At 44.8% G+C, this 17,312-nt stretch overlaps 1 protein-coding gene across 1 annotated transcript in view; it reads right to left on the reverse strand.

The window, feature by feature from the left end:
- ABCA1 (ATP binding cassette subfamily A member 1) overlaps nt 1-17,312 on the reverse strand; it is a 147,150-nt gene that overhangs the window by 47,705 nt on the left and 82,133 nt on the right. Inside the window, exons 8-15 of the mRNA NM_005502.4 lie at nt 16,767-16,859; nt 11,569-11,809; nt 8,718-8,857; nt 8,270-8,386; nt 3,864-4,061; nt 2,912-3,117; nt 2,215-2,391; nt 206-428 (exon numbers count right to left, since the gene is read on the reverse strand). Of these exons, the coding sequence (NP_005493.2) occupies nt 206-428; nt 2,215-2,391; nt 2,912-3,117; nt 3,864-4,061; nt 8,270-8,386; nt 8,718-8,857; nt 11,569-11,809; nt 16,767-16,859 (1,395 nt within the window). The remainder of the gene's footprint in view (nt 1-205; nt 429-2,214; nt 2,392-2,911; nt 3,118-3,863; nt 4,062-8,269; nt 8,387-8,717; nt 8,858-11,568; nt 11,810-16,766; nt 16,860-17,312) is intronic.

Raw genomic sequence — 17,312 nt, forward strand, 5'->3', positions numbered from 1 at the left:
ACCCGGCTGGGTTGACCTTGGGCAAGTCACTGCCCCTCTCTGGGCCTCACTTTCCCCAACTATAAATGGATGAAATTGCAGGAAATGACAGGTATGACCCCTTCTCTACCAGAGGCTTGGATTTTTTTTCTTCTTCTCCTCCCTTAGCCCGTGTTGAGCTATTTCGGAGTTTCCTGGCAGGGAAGAGCGAGTGAGGCTGCCTTACCTTCAGGATGACCACTAGCAGGCCAGCGCTCACAAGAAGAGGAATGAGGCTACTAATGAACCAGCTAAACCAGAGGATGCTGTTGTCCAGGCCCATGATCCGCATGGTCTCTTTCAGCCGTGCCTCCTTCTCATACACGATGCCCTTGATGATCACAGCCACTGAGTAAATCCAGGCCAGCGTCATGAAGAGGGGCATTGACCGGCTCATCACCCGCAGAAAGCTGGAGGCCCCAAGGAAGGACAAGGGGAGAAAGAAAGACACACGTGAGCCAGGGTGATGGGCCAAGGCCTCTGAGCCTGCATGCTAGAGGGAGCACCACATCTGGGCCACAGAAGGACAGGCCCTCTAGACTCTGAAATGTACGTATGATCCAATGCTTCACGAGCAATGCAATGTAGAGAGAAAAACGAGGCTAACAAAGTGTTGCCAAACCAAATTTCTTTGGGGGCTTGCTTCAGTAACTAGGTAACTGTGAGCGATACTTAAACTAAAGGTAGATTATGTTAAAGTACTAAAAACCAAAACAAAAAAACAACTCATTCTCTCACAAAAGTTCAACATCTCCAAGGTCATCTCACTATTGACTTGCTTATCGTAACTCTAATCACACCACAGACATACATTTCAGGCAGCTCTTGTCAATGTTTCAGATTCCAAGCTAGAATAGAAAATGCAGATGTGCAAAGTAAAAAGGCACACAGATTTTGGACCCTGAACTTGAGGTTCACGTCAAAGCTTTACCATGTAGGCACATACTCACTACATGACAACAGGCACCAGCTCTTAATGCCTCTGAACTCCTGTGCCCTGTCTTAAGACATCCTTTCTAGAGTAAACCTTAGCTTAGGGGTCTTTGTAAAAGTCTTCCTTTGAAAAATTCCAGCTAATTGTTTAGAAGGTGAAAAACAGGATAATTTCTGGTGACCTTGAAAAGCTATAGATAGCCATACAAGGAAACACACTATTCAATGCAAAACAGAGAACCAATACAAGCAGAACCCAGCTCCTCCCGCATCCTGATCCCTACACACACACACACACACACACACACACACACACACACATCCCACCACCACCACCAACCACAGAGAATAAGAGAATTTCCAGAATCTGGAAGAAACATTACATATTTCAGATGTCTGCAATAACTACACCTCCGCCCATTGTCTTAGAAGAAATCATTACATCCAAAGGCATAGTTCCCACAATGAGAACTTGGCAGCTTAGTGACTCAGCACTGAAAGATTTTCTAAAAAGTCTAAGAGGAAGAAGCTTTGTTCAGTTTTATTTGGGTTGTTTTGAAATGTGGTTTACCACCTAGGGAGAAGAAGTGCACACATTTACATAAACTGTGCTTTTATAAGTTTAGACGCTGTTTCTGCATCTATGTGTGAGTATGTGCTTGCATGTGTTTGTCATGACACATTTTAAGCTTGCAGATTGAGCAAATTTTGACCAAAAGGGTAGAGTGTAAAAAATTAAAGTGGTGGGCTGGGTGCAGTGGCTCACACCTGTAATCCCAGCACTTTGGGAGGCCAAGGAGGGTGGATTGCCTGAGCTCAGGAGTTGAAGTCTAGCCTGGGTAACATGGTGAAACCTCGTCTCTACTAAAATACAAAAAGTCAGCCGGGCGTGGCAGCATGAGCCTGTAGTCCCAGCTACTGTGGAGGCTGAGGCAGGAGAATAGCTTGAACCCGGGAGGCAAAGGTTGCAGTGAGCCGAGATCGAGCCACTGCACTCCAGCCTGGGCGTCAGAGCGAGACTCCATCTCAAAAAAAAAAATAAAAATAAAAAGATAAAAGTGGCAACCATGGATGAGAAGGAAAGAGGTTTACTAGTGTGTGCACATATATCTATGTCTGTCATGTGGCTGCAACTGTTGACAACTTACATCTGGCATCTTATTTCCAGATCATTCACACATGCATGCACATGCACACACATATATACACCCCCATCTGGCACAGTATAAACTGGTTAAAAACAGTGGCTTGCAGGTAACTTACATGTCATCAACGTAACAGGGATAGGGCATCTGTTGCATATAGACACCAGTTTTCTTCTCGGTGCCCGTCAGCACCCTGATGATTGCCTGCTCCACCACATCCTGCAAGTAGGCGAAGCCCCCCCAGACGTACCGCATGTCCTCAAAGGGGTCAGCTCGAGGACCAGGGTCCCAGTACCTAAAACCAAACCACAGGTAATCAACCATTCCTTTAGAACCATACAATAAAAAAAAAAAAAAAAAAAAATTGCCCAAAACCCTACTACCCTTACCAAGCCCCTTTTTCTATTTTTGTATCTTTTTTTTTTTTTGAGATGGAGTTTCACTCTTATTGCCCAGGCGGGAGTGCAATGATGCGATCTTAGCTCACTGCAACCTCTGCCTCCTGGGTTCAAGCAATTCTCCTGCCTCAGCCTCCCGAGTAGCTGGGATTACAGGTGCCTGCCACCAAAATTCCTGGAATTAATTCCCTTGAGTAGAAATGCTAAATCAAAAGATACTGTTATTTTATGACCTATGAAAAACCTTCCAGCAAGTCATGTACCAATTTCACCAAAATCATGACACCAAGTTGAGTTTTTTTGTTGTTGTTGAAATTTCTACCAAATTTTTAGTTAAAATAAAGTACCTCTTGTCCTAATATAATAGGTGCTCTGGACCTCCCCAAGACCAGGCTGGTGTGATGGGATTCCACTTACCCATCCTTGATTTTATTTGTCCTCTCCACATTGTCAATGTCCATTCGGATCTTGTACTTGACATGATGGGGCAGCTCAATGCTGCCTGGAGTAATTCCAGTGAACACAATACCAGCCCAGAACTTCCTCTCATCCAGCAGCTCCATGGACTTGTTGATGAGCCAGACTTCTGTTGCTATGGGTTCTAGCTTGTTCAGGTTGACACACTGATAGAAGAACAGCCTTCATGAGAACGTTGGCAGCCAGGACAACAAGCAGTGGCTGAGACAAATCCTACACTAGGAGGCAAGGGCTGACTACACGATTGCTCATCCTCTCTCTCTAATCCTCTCTAACGTAGTTTTCCAACCTTCAACCAAGAATGAAGGATTTTGGTTTTTCACTGCAATTTAAGAGAAATTCTAAGAGTAATTTAGGGATATGTTATTTATTGATTTTGTGGAGGAAAAGAGGTTAAAACAATGATCTTATCTTACTTTTCTGTTTTCTTAGCAATTCTGAGTCATAGCAACTAACCAACCAACCAGACCAAAACACCTCTTACCCATCCCTACTAATATAATTTTTAATATAAAATTTCAAAAATTTAATTGGACCCGAATTCGATTTTAGATAAGTTTCACAAATAATGCCTTTTTAAGGGAATGCTTTGCTACCATTAGTCACTGAGATAGGAAAACCTAGAAGAAAATGGGTAGAAATATTCTCTTGAGCCTATATAGAATAAGCTAGAGTTAATTTACTAAAGCTAGAGTTTATTTACTCATTCAACCACTCAACTAACATTTATTAAGTGCCTTTTGTTATCAAATCCTGTGTTAGGCTTGAGGGATAGTTTTGTAAATGAGACTATACATTATTTCTAAACTTGCCTCCTGCCTGAACCTTATTGTAACGTCTCAGAGAAAGAAGCCGTTAAGTCTTTTCTAAATGATCCCAGCAACAGATTCACCTCCATGAAGCGAGATATGGTCCGGATTGCCTGGTTAGTCTCGTTGAAAGCTTCTCTCCAGGTGTACACAGAACCATTACTGGACTGGACATCCTCTGGGTGCTTGGCCAAAAACGCCACGATGTCTTGGGCTGTCCAATCTAAGCCATCCAACTGCTGTTCCCAAAAGTGGTCATTGTCCCTGCTGTCCAACAGCATCTGCCATTCCAGTGAGAAAGTACAAGTAGTAAACACCAACTAAATCTTGAGGAGCACTACAAAATTTACAAAATACTTGCATATACACTGTCGTTGTTTTATCCTCACAGAAAACTGAGGTAAATGACAGTGTCCCTATTTTATATGTGAGAAGACTGAGGCTGAAGAAAAAAAAACATGATTTTAACCAGGGCTTGGTCATAGTATTACTAGATGTGGAGCTGAGACTCAAAGTCAGACCAGTCTGAATTCAGAGTCCATGTGCTTTCCACTATACGAAACATCTCACTTAATGGTATTAACTACAGTAACAACAACAATACTTCCTTTATATAGTTACTATGTTGAATAGTGTATATGCTTCACCTTACACAACTCCATAAAGAGGGCACTTTTATTTTTTTGCCTTTTGTTGTTGTTGTCGTTTGGATTCAGTGTCTCGCTCTGCCGCCCGGGCTGGAGTGCAGTGATGGAATCACAGCTCACCGCAGCCTTGACCTCCCAAGCCCAAGTGATCCTCCCATCTCAGCCTACCAAGTAGCTAAGACTACAGGTGCACACCACCACACCTGGCTAATTTTTAATTTTTTCATAGAGACAGAGTCTTGCCATGTTGCCTGGGCTGGTCTTGAACACCTGGGCTCAAGTGATCCTCCCACCTCAACCTCCCCAAGTGCTGGGATTACAGGCACAAGCCACCAGCCCAGTGAGTATCCTTTAATATTTCCCATTTTATACATGAGAAAATGGAAGTTCAGAGAGGTTAAGTCTCTAAGATTGGGTCACACAGCTATTAAGTAGCAAAGCCAGAATGAAAGCATAGGCCCTCTGTTTCTAGTGCACCTCCCCCTCCCCACTGTGTTCTATCACCTTCCTCTTTTGAGACCCAGTCTGTTGATCCCACATAAAACCTAATTCCTTCTTACTGCTTAGTTTAGAAAAATAATGCTGCTGGTTAAACCAACTAAAGTACAATCTTTTCCAATTGCAGGATGTACAGGTCATGATGCAAAGGAGGCCTATTTCCATTTCTTGTTCCCTTGCCAGTTGGTTCCTCACATGGGTCAACACGAAAGAGAAGGACAGATCAATCCGCTGCTCAATCAGCAGATCCAGAGGGGCCGAGGCAGAGGCCTGCACAGATGTGCTGCCGGAAAAACAGCAGCTGCAAACTCAGCAAAAAGGAGAGGCATTTGCAACTCCTGTCACAGCTTCGACAGAGAAGATGAAGCTCTGGTTCTACCGAATTGGAGTCTCCAAGGGTCTGAAAACTGCTGCTTTATAAAAAAATCAGTCTTAGTTTCACTAACATTATAAGCTTTTCCCCCCTTGCGCCTTTGTATTTATTATTTCAATGGCAGCATAATGATTGTATAGAGTATATGTAATTTCATTAATTATTCCTATAGTGCTGAACATTTAGTCTATTTCCAATTTCTCACAATAACAATATAGCAATAACATTTTCTCTCATATGGTGACTTCTTTAAAATTATTTCAGTAGGCTACATCCCTGGGGGTGGGTGGAATGGAGGTACGCAGGATAGCATATTTTAAAATGGTTCTTTAAATTTTCATTCCAAATTGCTTTCCAATAGAGAATAGCAATTTATACCATCACCAGGAAGGTATGTATGTATTTTTGTTAACATAACAGACACAAAATTGTACCTCACAAGTTCACAGAGGCTAGGGTTAGCAATTCTGAAGCCACTTTATTTGGAACAAACAAAAGCAGAGTGAAGAGACGCAGCCTTTAGGGTGAAGTCGGCCCTGCCCAGTATGGTTTCTGAACAACATGGCCAAAAAGAATAGCAAGACTAGAAAGATGCGCCCACTGAGATCACTGAGCACGTGGCCTCTCTGGGGTGCTCGTGAGGGGCAGGAGACCTAAGACTGCCCGCAGGGGTGGAGGCAGAGAGAAAACAGGTCCCGAGGATGGGTGGCTAAAAGCAGCTCAGAAAAGAGAGCAAATCAGTGTCAGAGGGTTCCAAGACTTGCCCGAGAGAGGTGCCCTGGGACCTGTGGGGTGAGGCAACATGGGTAGACAGTGCCAGAGAAAGCAGAAAGATCAGAGCTACCCCAGCAGAAGCAGAAGCCTCAGCCATCACCTCGTGTAGGAGATGCCAGGCTACAGGGGGTGACAAGCTCATGTTTGTGGAATTAAATAAACACTCTTTAAGAGAGGGAAGAAAGGCCGGGCGCGGTGGCTCATGCCTGTAATCCCAACACTTTGGGAGGCTGAGGCAGGTGGATCACTTGAGGTCAGGAGTTCATTCCAGCCCGACCAACATGGTGAAATCCCATCTCCACTGAAAATACAAAAATTAGCCGGGCACAGTGATATGTGCCTGTAATCCCAGCTACTCTGGAGGCTGAGACAGGAGAATTGCTTGAACCCAGGAGGCGGAGGCTGTGGTGAGCCAAGATCATGCCACTGCATTTCAGCCTGGGTGACAGAGCAAGACTCTGTCCAAAAAAAAAAAAAAAGAGAAAGAGAGGGAAGAAGCAAAGAAAACAGTTGGAAGAGGTTCCCTTTTCTTCCACCCACAGGCTGATGACTCCCTCATCATCTGTCTCCAGCCCAACCACCCTCCTCCACTGCAGACCTCAGTAGCCACTGGCCTACTGGACATCGCTACCACCCACCCAGCTAGAAATCGAGACTCACTTTGATGCCTCCCTCTCTTTCACTGCTCTGCCACTAAGCAGTCACCAGGCCTCATTTCTTGCTTTATGCCTTGGCCACTTGGAGAGCCTCCTCCCTGGTCTCTGCCTTCATTCTTGCCTCATCCTTCTTCAATTCATCCACCCCATCAGAGTAACGTATCTACATCTCCCCTTGCCTGGTCCCCTAGAGCTTAAAGTAAAGGTCCTCAGCTTGACACACAAGTCCCTCCAAGGCATGCCCATGCCTTTCTCTCCAGCCCCAGATCCCTCATTTCCAAGCATACACACTGGATTTTCCCAGCTAGATTCCTAATGAATGCCATTGCCATGTTTACAAGGATCTTGTCCTTTAAGAACTGGGAGCTTATGAAGAATTGAAGCACCTAAGGCAAAGTCAATTTCAGACTAGGGAACCATCTACTTGCCCACAAATCAAAATTCACTGAGTCACTTCACAGGGCCTCCTATAATCCTCTGAGAGCCAGACAAACAGAAAAAGTCCAACTAGTAGAAATATGGATTCCAAGGAGAGGACCAGGAAGAACAGGTCTGAAACCACACTTAGGTCTACGGGGCTAGATCATATAACCCTCCTTTAGAGAAGAGACCCCACTTTAATGGCATGAGCTATATTAGTCAGTGTGAATCCATACAAATCACTGTTTATGCTTTTCTCAGTATAAACTCCTTTGTTTTTAAAGGGACTTCCTCAGTAACCTGCCTCCCAGCGGATCAGGGAATAGTCCTAAACTTCGGAAGTGTTCCCCCTAGGTAGGTACAGTCTCTAAAACCCAGCCGCCCTTAAAGTCAATAAGGTTCAAAACAAGAAACCTGGCAAAATCCTCACCTGCTTCTTAAGGGGAGCAGAGACAAAAGGAAGAGGCCTCCCTCACCATGGAAACAGGAAATAGTCTAATGATTCTCTAACTCAGCCCAAGGCAGGAAGATGTGATTAACAGCACTCAGGCTCAGGCAAAGGAGACATTCTGTTCTTGCTCAGCCTGCTCCACATTTGAACCCAATTGTCTCTAGAGCACTTATCCCTTTCAAGTGGCTCTGAAGCACTAAGTGCATTTCCCCTCCACACAGTAACAGCAGCTCATCATTCACACAGTGCCCTGAGAATGAGTATCTCAGGCCAGTCTACATGTAACATCATGCTTTTGCTCCCACACTTCTTTCCAAAACCTACCAAGACACAGGGAGATGCTGTGGCTGGCTGAGAGGCTGCAGCCAAAAAGGAAAATAGGGTACTGCAATTACTCAACTCCACTTCCAAACACCAGCCCTCACTAAGTTTTGCAGAAAACTGCTATTTGACCGTGAGTGGCATGGATGCTGATATGCACAGCGTTATCTCTGCACCATGGCCTGTACTTCTGGAGAGGTGGTGCCCTGTGACTTTAGCTATGCTCACTACATTCCCCCAGCTAGATAAACTGAAAGAATTCTCACCTCACTCACACCTGGGAAAGTGACCAGAAACTCACCTCTCCAGTATCAAGCAGGCACATGGTAATAATGGGAGGGACACTCACCCGGACAAGGTCCATTTCTTGGCTGTTCTCCATGAAGGTCCAGATCTTGGGGCTGAGTTCCTCCCACATGCCTTCCAGATCATGGAACACAGCCAGTTCCTGGAAGGTCTTGTTCACCTGGAGTCAGGTGGGGAGCCAGGGACCGCAGAAAAAGGAGGAGAAGCACAGACAATGAGCGTTTGGCTCCTCCCTGAAAAGATACCCCATCACAGCAGCCCTGTGCCAGTCCTCCCCATCCCCAAGAAATGCCTGCTTGTAACTATGATTCTATACCCACGACTGGGGAGCTGGCCCAGCTCTGGTCTGCATCAGACTTGAGGTTTTCACTCTGGGAATTCCAGAAGAGCCGTGAGTATACTTAGCGCACACCTCTGAAGCTACCTTGAGTTTTTTGCCCCCAGTTCTGGGGAGATTCTGGGGAGGGAGTCTTGGGCTGGGGGCAGCTTACCTCAGCCATGACCTGCCTTGTGGCTGGAGTGTCAGGTGTATACAGGATCTTCCCAACGAGCAGCGGCTTCAGAGCTTTCCAGATAATGCGGGAAAGAGGACTAGACTCCAAATTCTTCATCAAATCATTGCAGTAAGGAGCTATGAAGAAGAGGAGAGACAAATGCTCATATGCATGGTCATATACTGATAGAAACTTACAAGGGCTTTGGAGCCAGAGAGTTCTTAGTTGAAACCCCAGCTCTACCACTACTAGTCATATAATAAGTAACTTATCTGAGCCTCAGTTGGCTCCTCTGTAAAAGTAAAATTCATAACATCTATGTGGAGAGATGTGGAGAAGATTATCTCAGATTAAACTGAGATATCTATAAAGAATGATGCTTGATAAATAATCAGAGCTTATTATAACGTCAATGACGGATAACTCACGACTGAGCTGATCTGGAAAAATGTTTTCATGAAGCACAAGCCCTCCCATCCAGATTCACACTCTCATGCCAGCCTCACCATTGTTTTCACTGACAACTAACATGACCAACATTTAAACTGACTCTTGAGGGGCAACCAGAAGGCTGAATTCAGACCTCAGTTTTCAAGCAAAAACCAAAATTTGGGGCTGGGCGCAGTGGCTCATGCCTGCAATCCCAGCACTTTGGGAGGCCAAGGCGGGCGAACCACCTGAGGTTGGGAGTTCGAGACCAGCCTGACCAACATGGAGAAACCCTGTCTCTACTAAAAATACAAAATTAGCTGGGCGTGGTGACGCATGAGGCTGAGGCAGGAGAATCGCTTGAACCCAGGAGGCAGAGGTTGCAGTGAGCCGAGATTGTGTCACTGCACTCTAGCCCGGGCAACAAGAGCGAAACTCTGTCTCCCAAAAAAAAAAAAAAAAATTCTCAACAGGGCGCAGTGGTTCACGCCTGTAATCCCAGCACTTTGGGAGGCCGAGACAGGCGGATCACGAGGTCAGGAGATCGAGACCATCCTGGCTAACACAGTGAAACCCCGTCTCTACTCAAAATACAAAAAAAAAAAAAATTAGCTGGGCATGGTGGCGGGCACCTGCAGTTCCAGCTACTCAGGAGGCTGAGGCAGGAGAATGGCGTGAACCCGGGAGGCGGAGCTTGCAGTGAGCCGAGATGGCGCCACTGCACTCCAGCCTGGGCAACGGAGCGAGACTCCCTCTCAAAAAAAAAAAAAAAAATTCTCTTTAATTAACACAAACTAGTATATGTACACTTAACAAAAACCCAAATACAAAAGTTGTAACAGACAAATGGGTTTGGTTATCCAGCAGGATCCCTGATTTTTAAAAATTCATTCTAAGTTTTTCAGGGATTTTTAGATACCAAGTATCTTCTATATGCTGGAAAGATAATAGAATTTTTTTTTTTTTAATGAGGATGCCCTCACAATTAAGTCTGTCATGGAAATGAAGGCTTCCTTGGGTCAACTTGCAAGCTGGGGGAGAGGAGGAGATGGGATTTAATTAAAGTTGCCTACAATACCATCCTTTTAAGGCTTGTAAAGCAACTTGCGAATGTCTGGAGTGCTTTACTCCAGAGAAGAAAAGGTTCTTGTGTTACAATAAAGTACAAAACCTGCCTCACTCAGTGTCTGAAAGACACACCTGTGGTTGGAAATGGAGAAAGGTTCCCCTGCATCAAGTTTTCAAGGAAAAGGATGCCACTGCCTAAAACTGTGACATTGGATCCCTGCTGCCACGAGGCATACGGCACACGGGCCCACAAAAGTGCTTAAGTGTGGGGAGTGGATATGGAGACACAGGGTTCTTTAACACTGCCTTGCAGCTAAGAATGGGAAACAAAGGGCAGATCAAATGTCTGAGTGTGAGAACACACACGCCACCACTAACAGTTATCTTAGAGAGCACAGATCCAGGCAGATTTGGGCTTGAATCCTGGCTCTTGTGGATTAACTCTGATGTGGCTCTAACCAAGGCACTTAACCTCTCTGAGCCTATGAAATGTGGGGTTAAAGAATCTTCCCTGCAGGGTTATCATGAGGGTAAAATGAGATAACTTAAACAGAATGCACAGTGCACAAGAAATTCTACTTAAATGTTAGTTCTTTGTTGTTGTTGTTGTTGCTATTATCATTACTGTTATTTCTTTTTATGTTATTATAAAGCTTATCTCAATGGTAATATTAAGACCAGTACATCATCCTTTTTAAAAATGCTTTTCTAGCTTTTTTGAGTTACAACTGACAAATAAAAATTGTATATATTTAAGGTATACAATGTGATGTTTTAATATATGTATACTTTGTAAAAGGATCACCACAATCAAGCTGTTAATAAATCCATCACCTCATAGTTGCCTTTTTTGTGTAGTGTGAACACTTCGGATCTACTCTCTTAGCAAATTTCAAGTATACTATACAGTGTTACTAACTATAGTCATCACGATGTACATCAAGATCCCAGGAACTTATTCATCATGTGAAACTGACACTTTCTACCTTACATATATTCCATATATAAGTGAGATCTTGCAGGATTTGTCCTTCTGCCATTATCTCATTCTTGATCACCCTGGAAGCCACCCTTCCACATCCCCCAGAAAACCAGAAGGTTGGCTGTCAATCATTCATTCCATTGATAAACACTACTGTGCACCTGAGATGTGCCAGGCTGCATTCAGAGAACTGGGGACAGGTAGCTATTCAAGAGAAGCCTCTCTCCTCTAGGAAGAGCTCAGTCTGGTGGGCAAATGGGCATGTAGACATCTAACGCTGCTACAGAGGGAGGAGATGACACAGGCCAAGGCCAGAACTAAGGGAGGGATGGGGTTGGGGACAGGGCTGGGGTCTGCATGGACACTCACTTGTAGAGTTGTCATAGAAGGTTTCAGCATCTTCCTCAGTGCCATTGCCTCCAAAGAGGGCTTTGTAGTTGTTGTCCTCATACCAGTTGAGAGACTTGATCTTCAGCCCCCCTCCCTCGGGATGCCCGCAGACAATACGAGACACAGCCTGGTAGATTTGGGTGGAGGAGCTGGAGCTGTTCACATTGGTCAGAAACATCACCTCCTGTCGCATGTCACTCCAGCTTCTCATGCTGAACAGCTGGCGTCAGGGATGGGGACAGAAAGGAGGGTAGGGGAAGGGAGAAAAGGGCAGTGCAAGGGTTGGGGATGAGAAGAGAAAGAAACATCTTATTTTCTTGACCTCTCAAAAGCCATGTCCCAGAACATATTTTGTCTGATGTCATCTCAAAGCCTTGGGATGAGCTTGCCAGAACCTGGCTACCCAATCTGTGGTCCAGGGACGAGCAGCATCAGCATTACTGGAGACATTGTTGGAAATGCGGATTCTGAGACCCCTCTGCCGACCTGCAGAATTCAAATCTACAGCTTCACAAGATGCCCAGGTGATTCCTATGCTCACTAAAGTTTGAGAAGCACAGCCTGGAGTTAGTGAAGCCCCTGGGGCTGGGCTTCGTTTCACCGGGATTATCTTCCAGTTTATAGATAAAAGAATGCTTTCTCTGAACAGCTACATCTCATTGTGGTTGAGCCTATCAGGAACTGCTCTCATCCTCGATAACTGACTCATTTCTAAAACTCCCCGAACTCTAGTGTAGAAATTGAACAGCCCTCTTCCGCCTTGGGAGAAAAGGTACTGTATGTGAAGTTCCCTATCTTGGTCTCAGTAAAGTGTCAGGCAATGAAAAAGCATTAAGATGAAAAACTCGAGTCTGGGCCGGGTGCAGTGGCTCACACCTGTAATCCCAGTACTTTGGGAGGTCGAGGCGGGTGGATCACCTGAGGTCAGGAGTTCAAGACCAGCCTGGCCAACATGGTGAAACCCCATCTCTACTAAAAAAATACAAAAATGTTGGCCAGGCATGGTGGCAGGTGCCTGTAATCCCAGCTACTGGGGAGGCTGAGGCAGGAGAATTGCTTGAACCCGGGAGGCAGAGGTTGCAGTGAGCCAAGCACCACTGCAATCCAGCCTGGGCGACAAAAGCAAGACTCAGTCTTAAAAAAAAAAGAAAAAGAAAAAGAAAAAGAAAAACTCAAGTCTGAACCCTAGCTATGTCCCTCGTCAGCTTACAGCCTTTGAAAAGTCACGTCATGTCTCTGAGTACTCAACTTCTCCATGCTTCACGGAGCTCGCTGAGACACAACTTGGCTTGGTTTTGGTAACCCTGGGGGGCAGTAGATGCTTATACCATGGCCTGGACACTGCCCTCTACTCATCATCAAGACAGCAAAGCTACAACAGTGTGTGGTGAGGCACAAATCCTATGCCACACAAGAGGGTGCCCTGCATAGAACAGTCCCAACAGCGTGAGTCAGAAACCCTAGGCAGTGTCTGTGACTGCCACTCAACAGGCATCAATGACCCAGGCAGCGTTCTGTCTTACATGCAAATGTATTCCGGCACTTTGTGGAGTTCTCAGCCCCAATGCTATTATGAAATATTTATAGAGTACTTTGTATTTCCAAACATTTCACAAGAAATCATTAATAAATCCCTGTATTCCTGGAAATGTCACTGCGTGTTCACACCGCCTGGGAAGACTGAGCTATAGAGCACAGAGGGGAGGGGAAGGGCCACGAGGCCCTGCACCCAGCCTGGAAAGCTCCATATGCCTAGCTTTCAACCTCACAGCCTGCTGGTTCCTGTGAGTGGCGTGGTCCAGCACTCTCTAGGTCCTAAGCTTTGCCTTCTGCCTCCAGAAGGGAACTAGGCTCTCCAGAGGTGGGTCAGAGGCCACAAGGATTTTTTTTCTCCAGAGAGGGGGCATCTAGCACACTCCACAAGAACACAATTAGGTGAGGTGGACAGCTTTTCCCAACTTTTTCTTTTCATAACCTGTACGAGGCATACAGACAGAAAGGGGACAGAGAACCAGGCCATTTTGCCTTTTGTTGCTTATTGGAACAGCCCTAGAGATTTTTAAATAACAGTGAGTCAAAACACTCACTTCTCTTTCCACAGGCAGCCTCACCACCAACCCACCACTCCCCAATCAAAAAAAAAAATTTCTTCCCACATAAAGCCAGCAAATCTTTCTAAAGAAGCACCATAAATTATTGAGTTATTCCAAACTATTGACTCTTCCCAGCACCCGTTTCAGGGGTAAACTCTTACTCTTTCTCCTACACCTCAGCTCACACTCCAAACTTTATCTGGGAAGTGCTTCCTGACTCTCAGGGAGGGATGGCTCTTCATCCTTTAGCCCACGGATGATGGTGGTATTTGAACATCATCGGTTGAGTGAATGAATGAAACTGACTTACTGCTTTCTCAATCCAGCACAATGTCCTTTGTCCTCCCTTTCCCCCATCCCAGTCTCTTCTCAACCCAACAACCAGAGTGTAAACAGTCTAAACTCTAGATCACATCATGTCCCCTCCCTCAAGCCCTCCGCTGGATTCTCATCTCACCCAGCAGGAATCCAAAGTCTTGCCAGGCCTGTATGGCACTCACCTCCTCCTGCTCTGAGCTCCTCTCCTCCCCCCACCACTTGCTCACTTTCCCTGGTCCTTAAACACATTCCTTAGGCATGCTCTAGCATCAATGTCTTTGTATCTGCCATTCTTCCTGTTCGGAGTTTCCTTCCCTCACCACAGACATGCTATCATCTCCTTCAGGTCCAACTGTCACCTTAGAGAGAGCTTTCCTAATCACCCCCTTTAAAAAAAGCACCTTCTCATGCTCTATGCCCCTTACCCTGCTTTTTCTTCACTGCATATATCCCTCCTGTGGCATTGTACACTGACCTGTTTGTTTCTGTCTCTCACCCTATACGTGCCCCAAGAAAGCAGAGAAGTTAGCGTGTTCACTGCTGAGTCCTCAACACCTAGCAATGCCAGGCAGCTGGTCGGTGCTGGGTGGACATCTGAGATGCTGCCTCCCTGTCCTCCCTTCCCATCACCCAGATGTGAAACTCAGGTCAGCTTTCATTCATCTTATTCCTCAAGTCCTCATTTCCTCCCAATTTCCAGGTTCTGCTAGTGCGTATTTTCTTTCTTGGAAGGTTCTCCTTTCTATTCCAGTCGCTACTGGAGTTTTTCACGAAGCAGGCAACAACACAGGCTTTGGAATCCAACAGTTCTGGGTTTGAATCCCAGTTTTGTCAATTAACTCATTGGGTGACTGGAAAAGTTGCCTAACCTTTCTGAGCCTTGGTGCCATCTGCAAAATGGACATGATGAGACCCACTCAGGTTTGTCATGTGGAGCATACAGGGAAATGGGTGACACTGTCTGAACCTAGGCAGCTTCTCAGAAGACATTCACTCCCTTTTTCTTTTCCTTTCAAGGGTTGTGCTTTGGTCAAAATTATCAACTTTCCACACGCTGACTGGACAAACAAGTGCATTTATTGATCTTCTCCCATTTATCTCACAGAAATAGCAAGTCAGACAATGAGTAACTTTTGATCAAAGGGATCTGGAGGTGTTCTATTGAAAGAGGCAGATGGTCCTTGCTTGTCCTGGACCAGGAGCAAGCAGGGCACAAGAAACAGCTGCCAAGAAAAACGTATATTGTTCACTTGGAGAGTTTCCACCACATCAGCAATGGGAACATCACCTGCTTCCAATTTTTTTTTTTAATGCCAGAAAAAAAAAAAAAACCAGGGCCAGTGATGTAAGTGAAAACAGCTGTAACCAAACCCTGAGTTTAGAGGCAGCCTCCCCTGTTACAGACCCTGCTTTGCTTTCTCTAAGGCCAGAAATGAACAAGGGACAGAGGGCTGCGAGGGGATCTGCAGAGCAATGCAAGGCATGTCAATGTCAGCTAACAGGGCCCTAGAGAAATAGCTACGGACTTGCAAAACAGTTTCTCTTTCTCATTCTCCCCCTGGAAGAACCCCAGTTGGTCCAGCTTCTCTACCTAGTAAAAAAGGTTACCAGCCTTCATAACCAGGGTAACAAATGGCAAGCTGAAAGAAGGCTTCTCCTCTGGAAAAGGAACCCAAAAGTCAGACCTCATCAGTCAGAAACACGTGAGCAGAATTCAAAGAAAGAAAGTAGAACAGGACAGGAAGAAATACACTAACGTATCAATAGTGTTTGATCTCAGCATTTTTGTATTTTCCAAGTCTTCAGCATTTTCCACAATGAACATGCAATACTTTCATTGTTAGAAAACATAAAGTTCGTTTTTGATATTTGAAAAAATGATGCAAGCACCAAAAAATGGGTAGGTTAGATACAAGCACCAAAAAAAGAAAAACGGATTAGAGAAGCAGCTAAAAATAAGGGTGGACCAAGTCTGAGACAATTTCCCCACAAATTATTATTTTCCAATATCCTACACGTTAAAGTCTGTATTGTTTGTGAGCACTGCCCCCTGGCTCAGCTTCCTATGCTGGGGGACACCAGACAGTTCCTCGCTTCCAAGCCTAATTTGAGACAAGGCTGGGAGTCAGAAAGGTGGAGTGTGCACTGGCTGGGAGTCAGAGCTAACTGCTTTTGCAAGTGCCTACAGGCCCTCTGATCCTAGGACAGAGATTACTCTGATACATTTGTCAACATGTGGACCTAAAAGGCAAACTCAACTTAATGTTCATTAAGAGACCATATTCCCATAGTTGAACCTCAGAAGCCAGATGCTTTCAAGGGAAAGGGCTGAATTAGGGGTACCACGTTATTCCTGTTAGTTAGCAAGCATGTGTGTTGGTAAAATGATTGGCCTTGCTACTGAAGAAGCAATATGGAGAAATTGCTGGTCAGACAAAAGCAGTGCATGGGCAGTGGCAGAGATAATTCTCCTCTTTACAAATGTATGATTACCTAGGGGCAAAAAGAAAAAATGGAGAAGGTTCTAAACTAGATATCCAGCTGTTAGCCACTAACCAATTAGCTCTGAGACATCTATGAGTTTTAGGTTTCTTCATTTCTAAAATAAGGAAATCAAAACATTATTGTTTACATCACTTATACTTTGAAAATTGATATTACATCCCATGTGATATTCAACTCAAAAGGACCTCTTGCCAGACTCAGGAATGAAAATACTGATACAGTGGATGATCCGCTTCCTGGTACTGGAAAGACACAACTTACCTCCTGGGCCAGAGTCCCAAGACTATGCAGCAATGTTTTTGTGGCTTCAGCCAGCTCCTTGCTCGGGAAGGGAGATGTAGAGTTTAGTGTTCTCTGTAATGAGAAAGAAAACTTTGTTTCTGAATTCAAATGTAAACCTGAAATCTCTATTGGAAATAAACAAGTGAATTAAAACTGTTCACAATCTTGAGTTTAACAAACAAGAAACCGACTCCTAACCAAAACTAAAGACACTACAATTATTTCTAACTGTAAGTTTGCATTTTGTTCATTTTCAAACTCATTCTTTGATTAATGGTTTTAAATGAAGTAGGAATATTGTACTTAAAACTAGTTAATATGCAATAGATTAAAAGGATCTCATGTGGGCTGGGGGGATGTGTCCAATACAACTCTGACCGCAAATTCCCAAATCTGTCTGCGTCTGCAAGATGGGTAATACGGGAATGGCTTTGAGAAACAAGTTAATGACGGCTCACAAGAAAGGAAGAAAATATAAAGTTTAAAGCTGTCAAAAATAGGGAAAGATGGAATTCTGTCACTCTG

The sequence above is a fragment of the Homo sapiens genome, chromosome 9 (genome assembly GCF_000001405.40).
Source record: "Homo sapiens chromosome 9, GRCh38.p14 Primary Assembly".
NCBI classification, from domain to species: domain Eukaryota; kingdom Metazoa; phylum Chordata; class Mammalia; order Primates; family Hominidae; genus Homo; species Homo sapiens.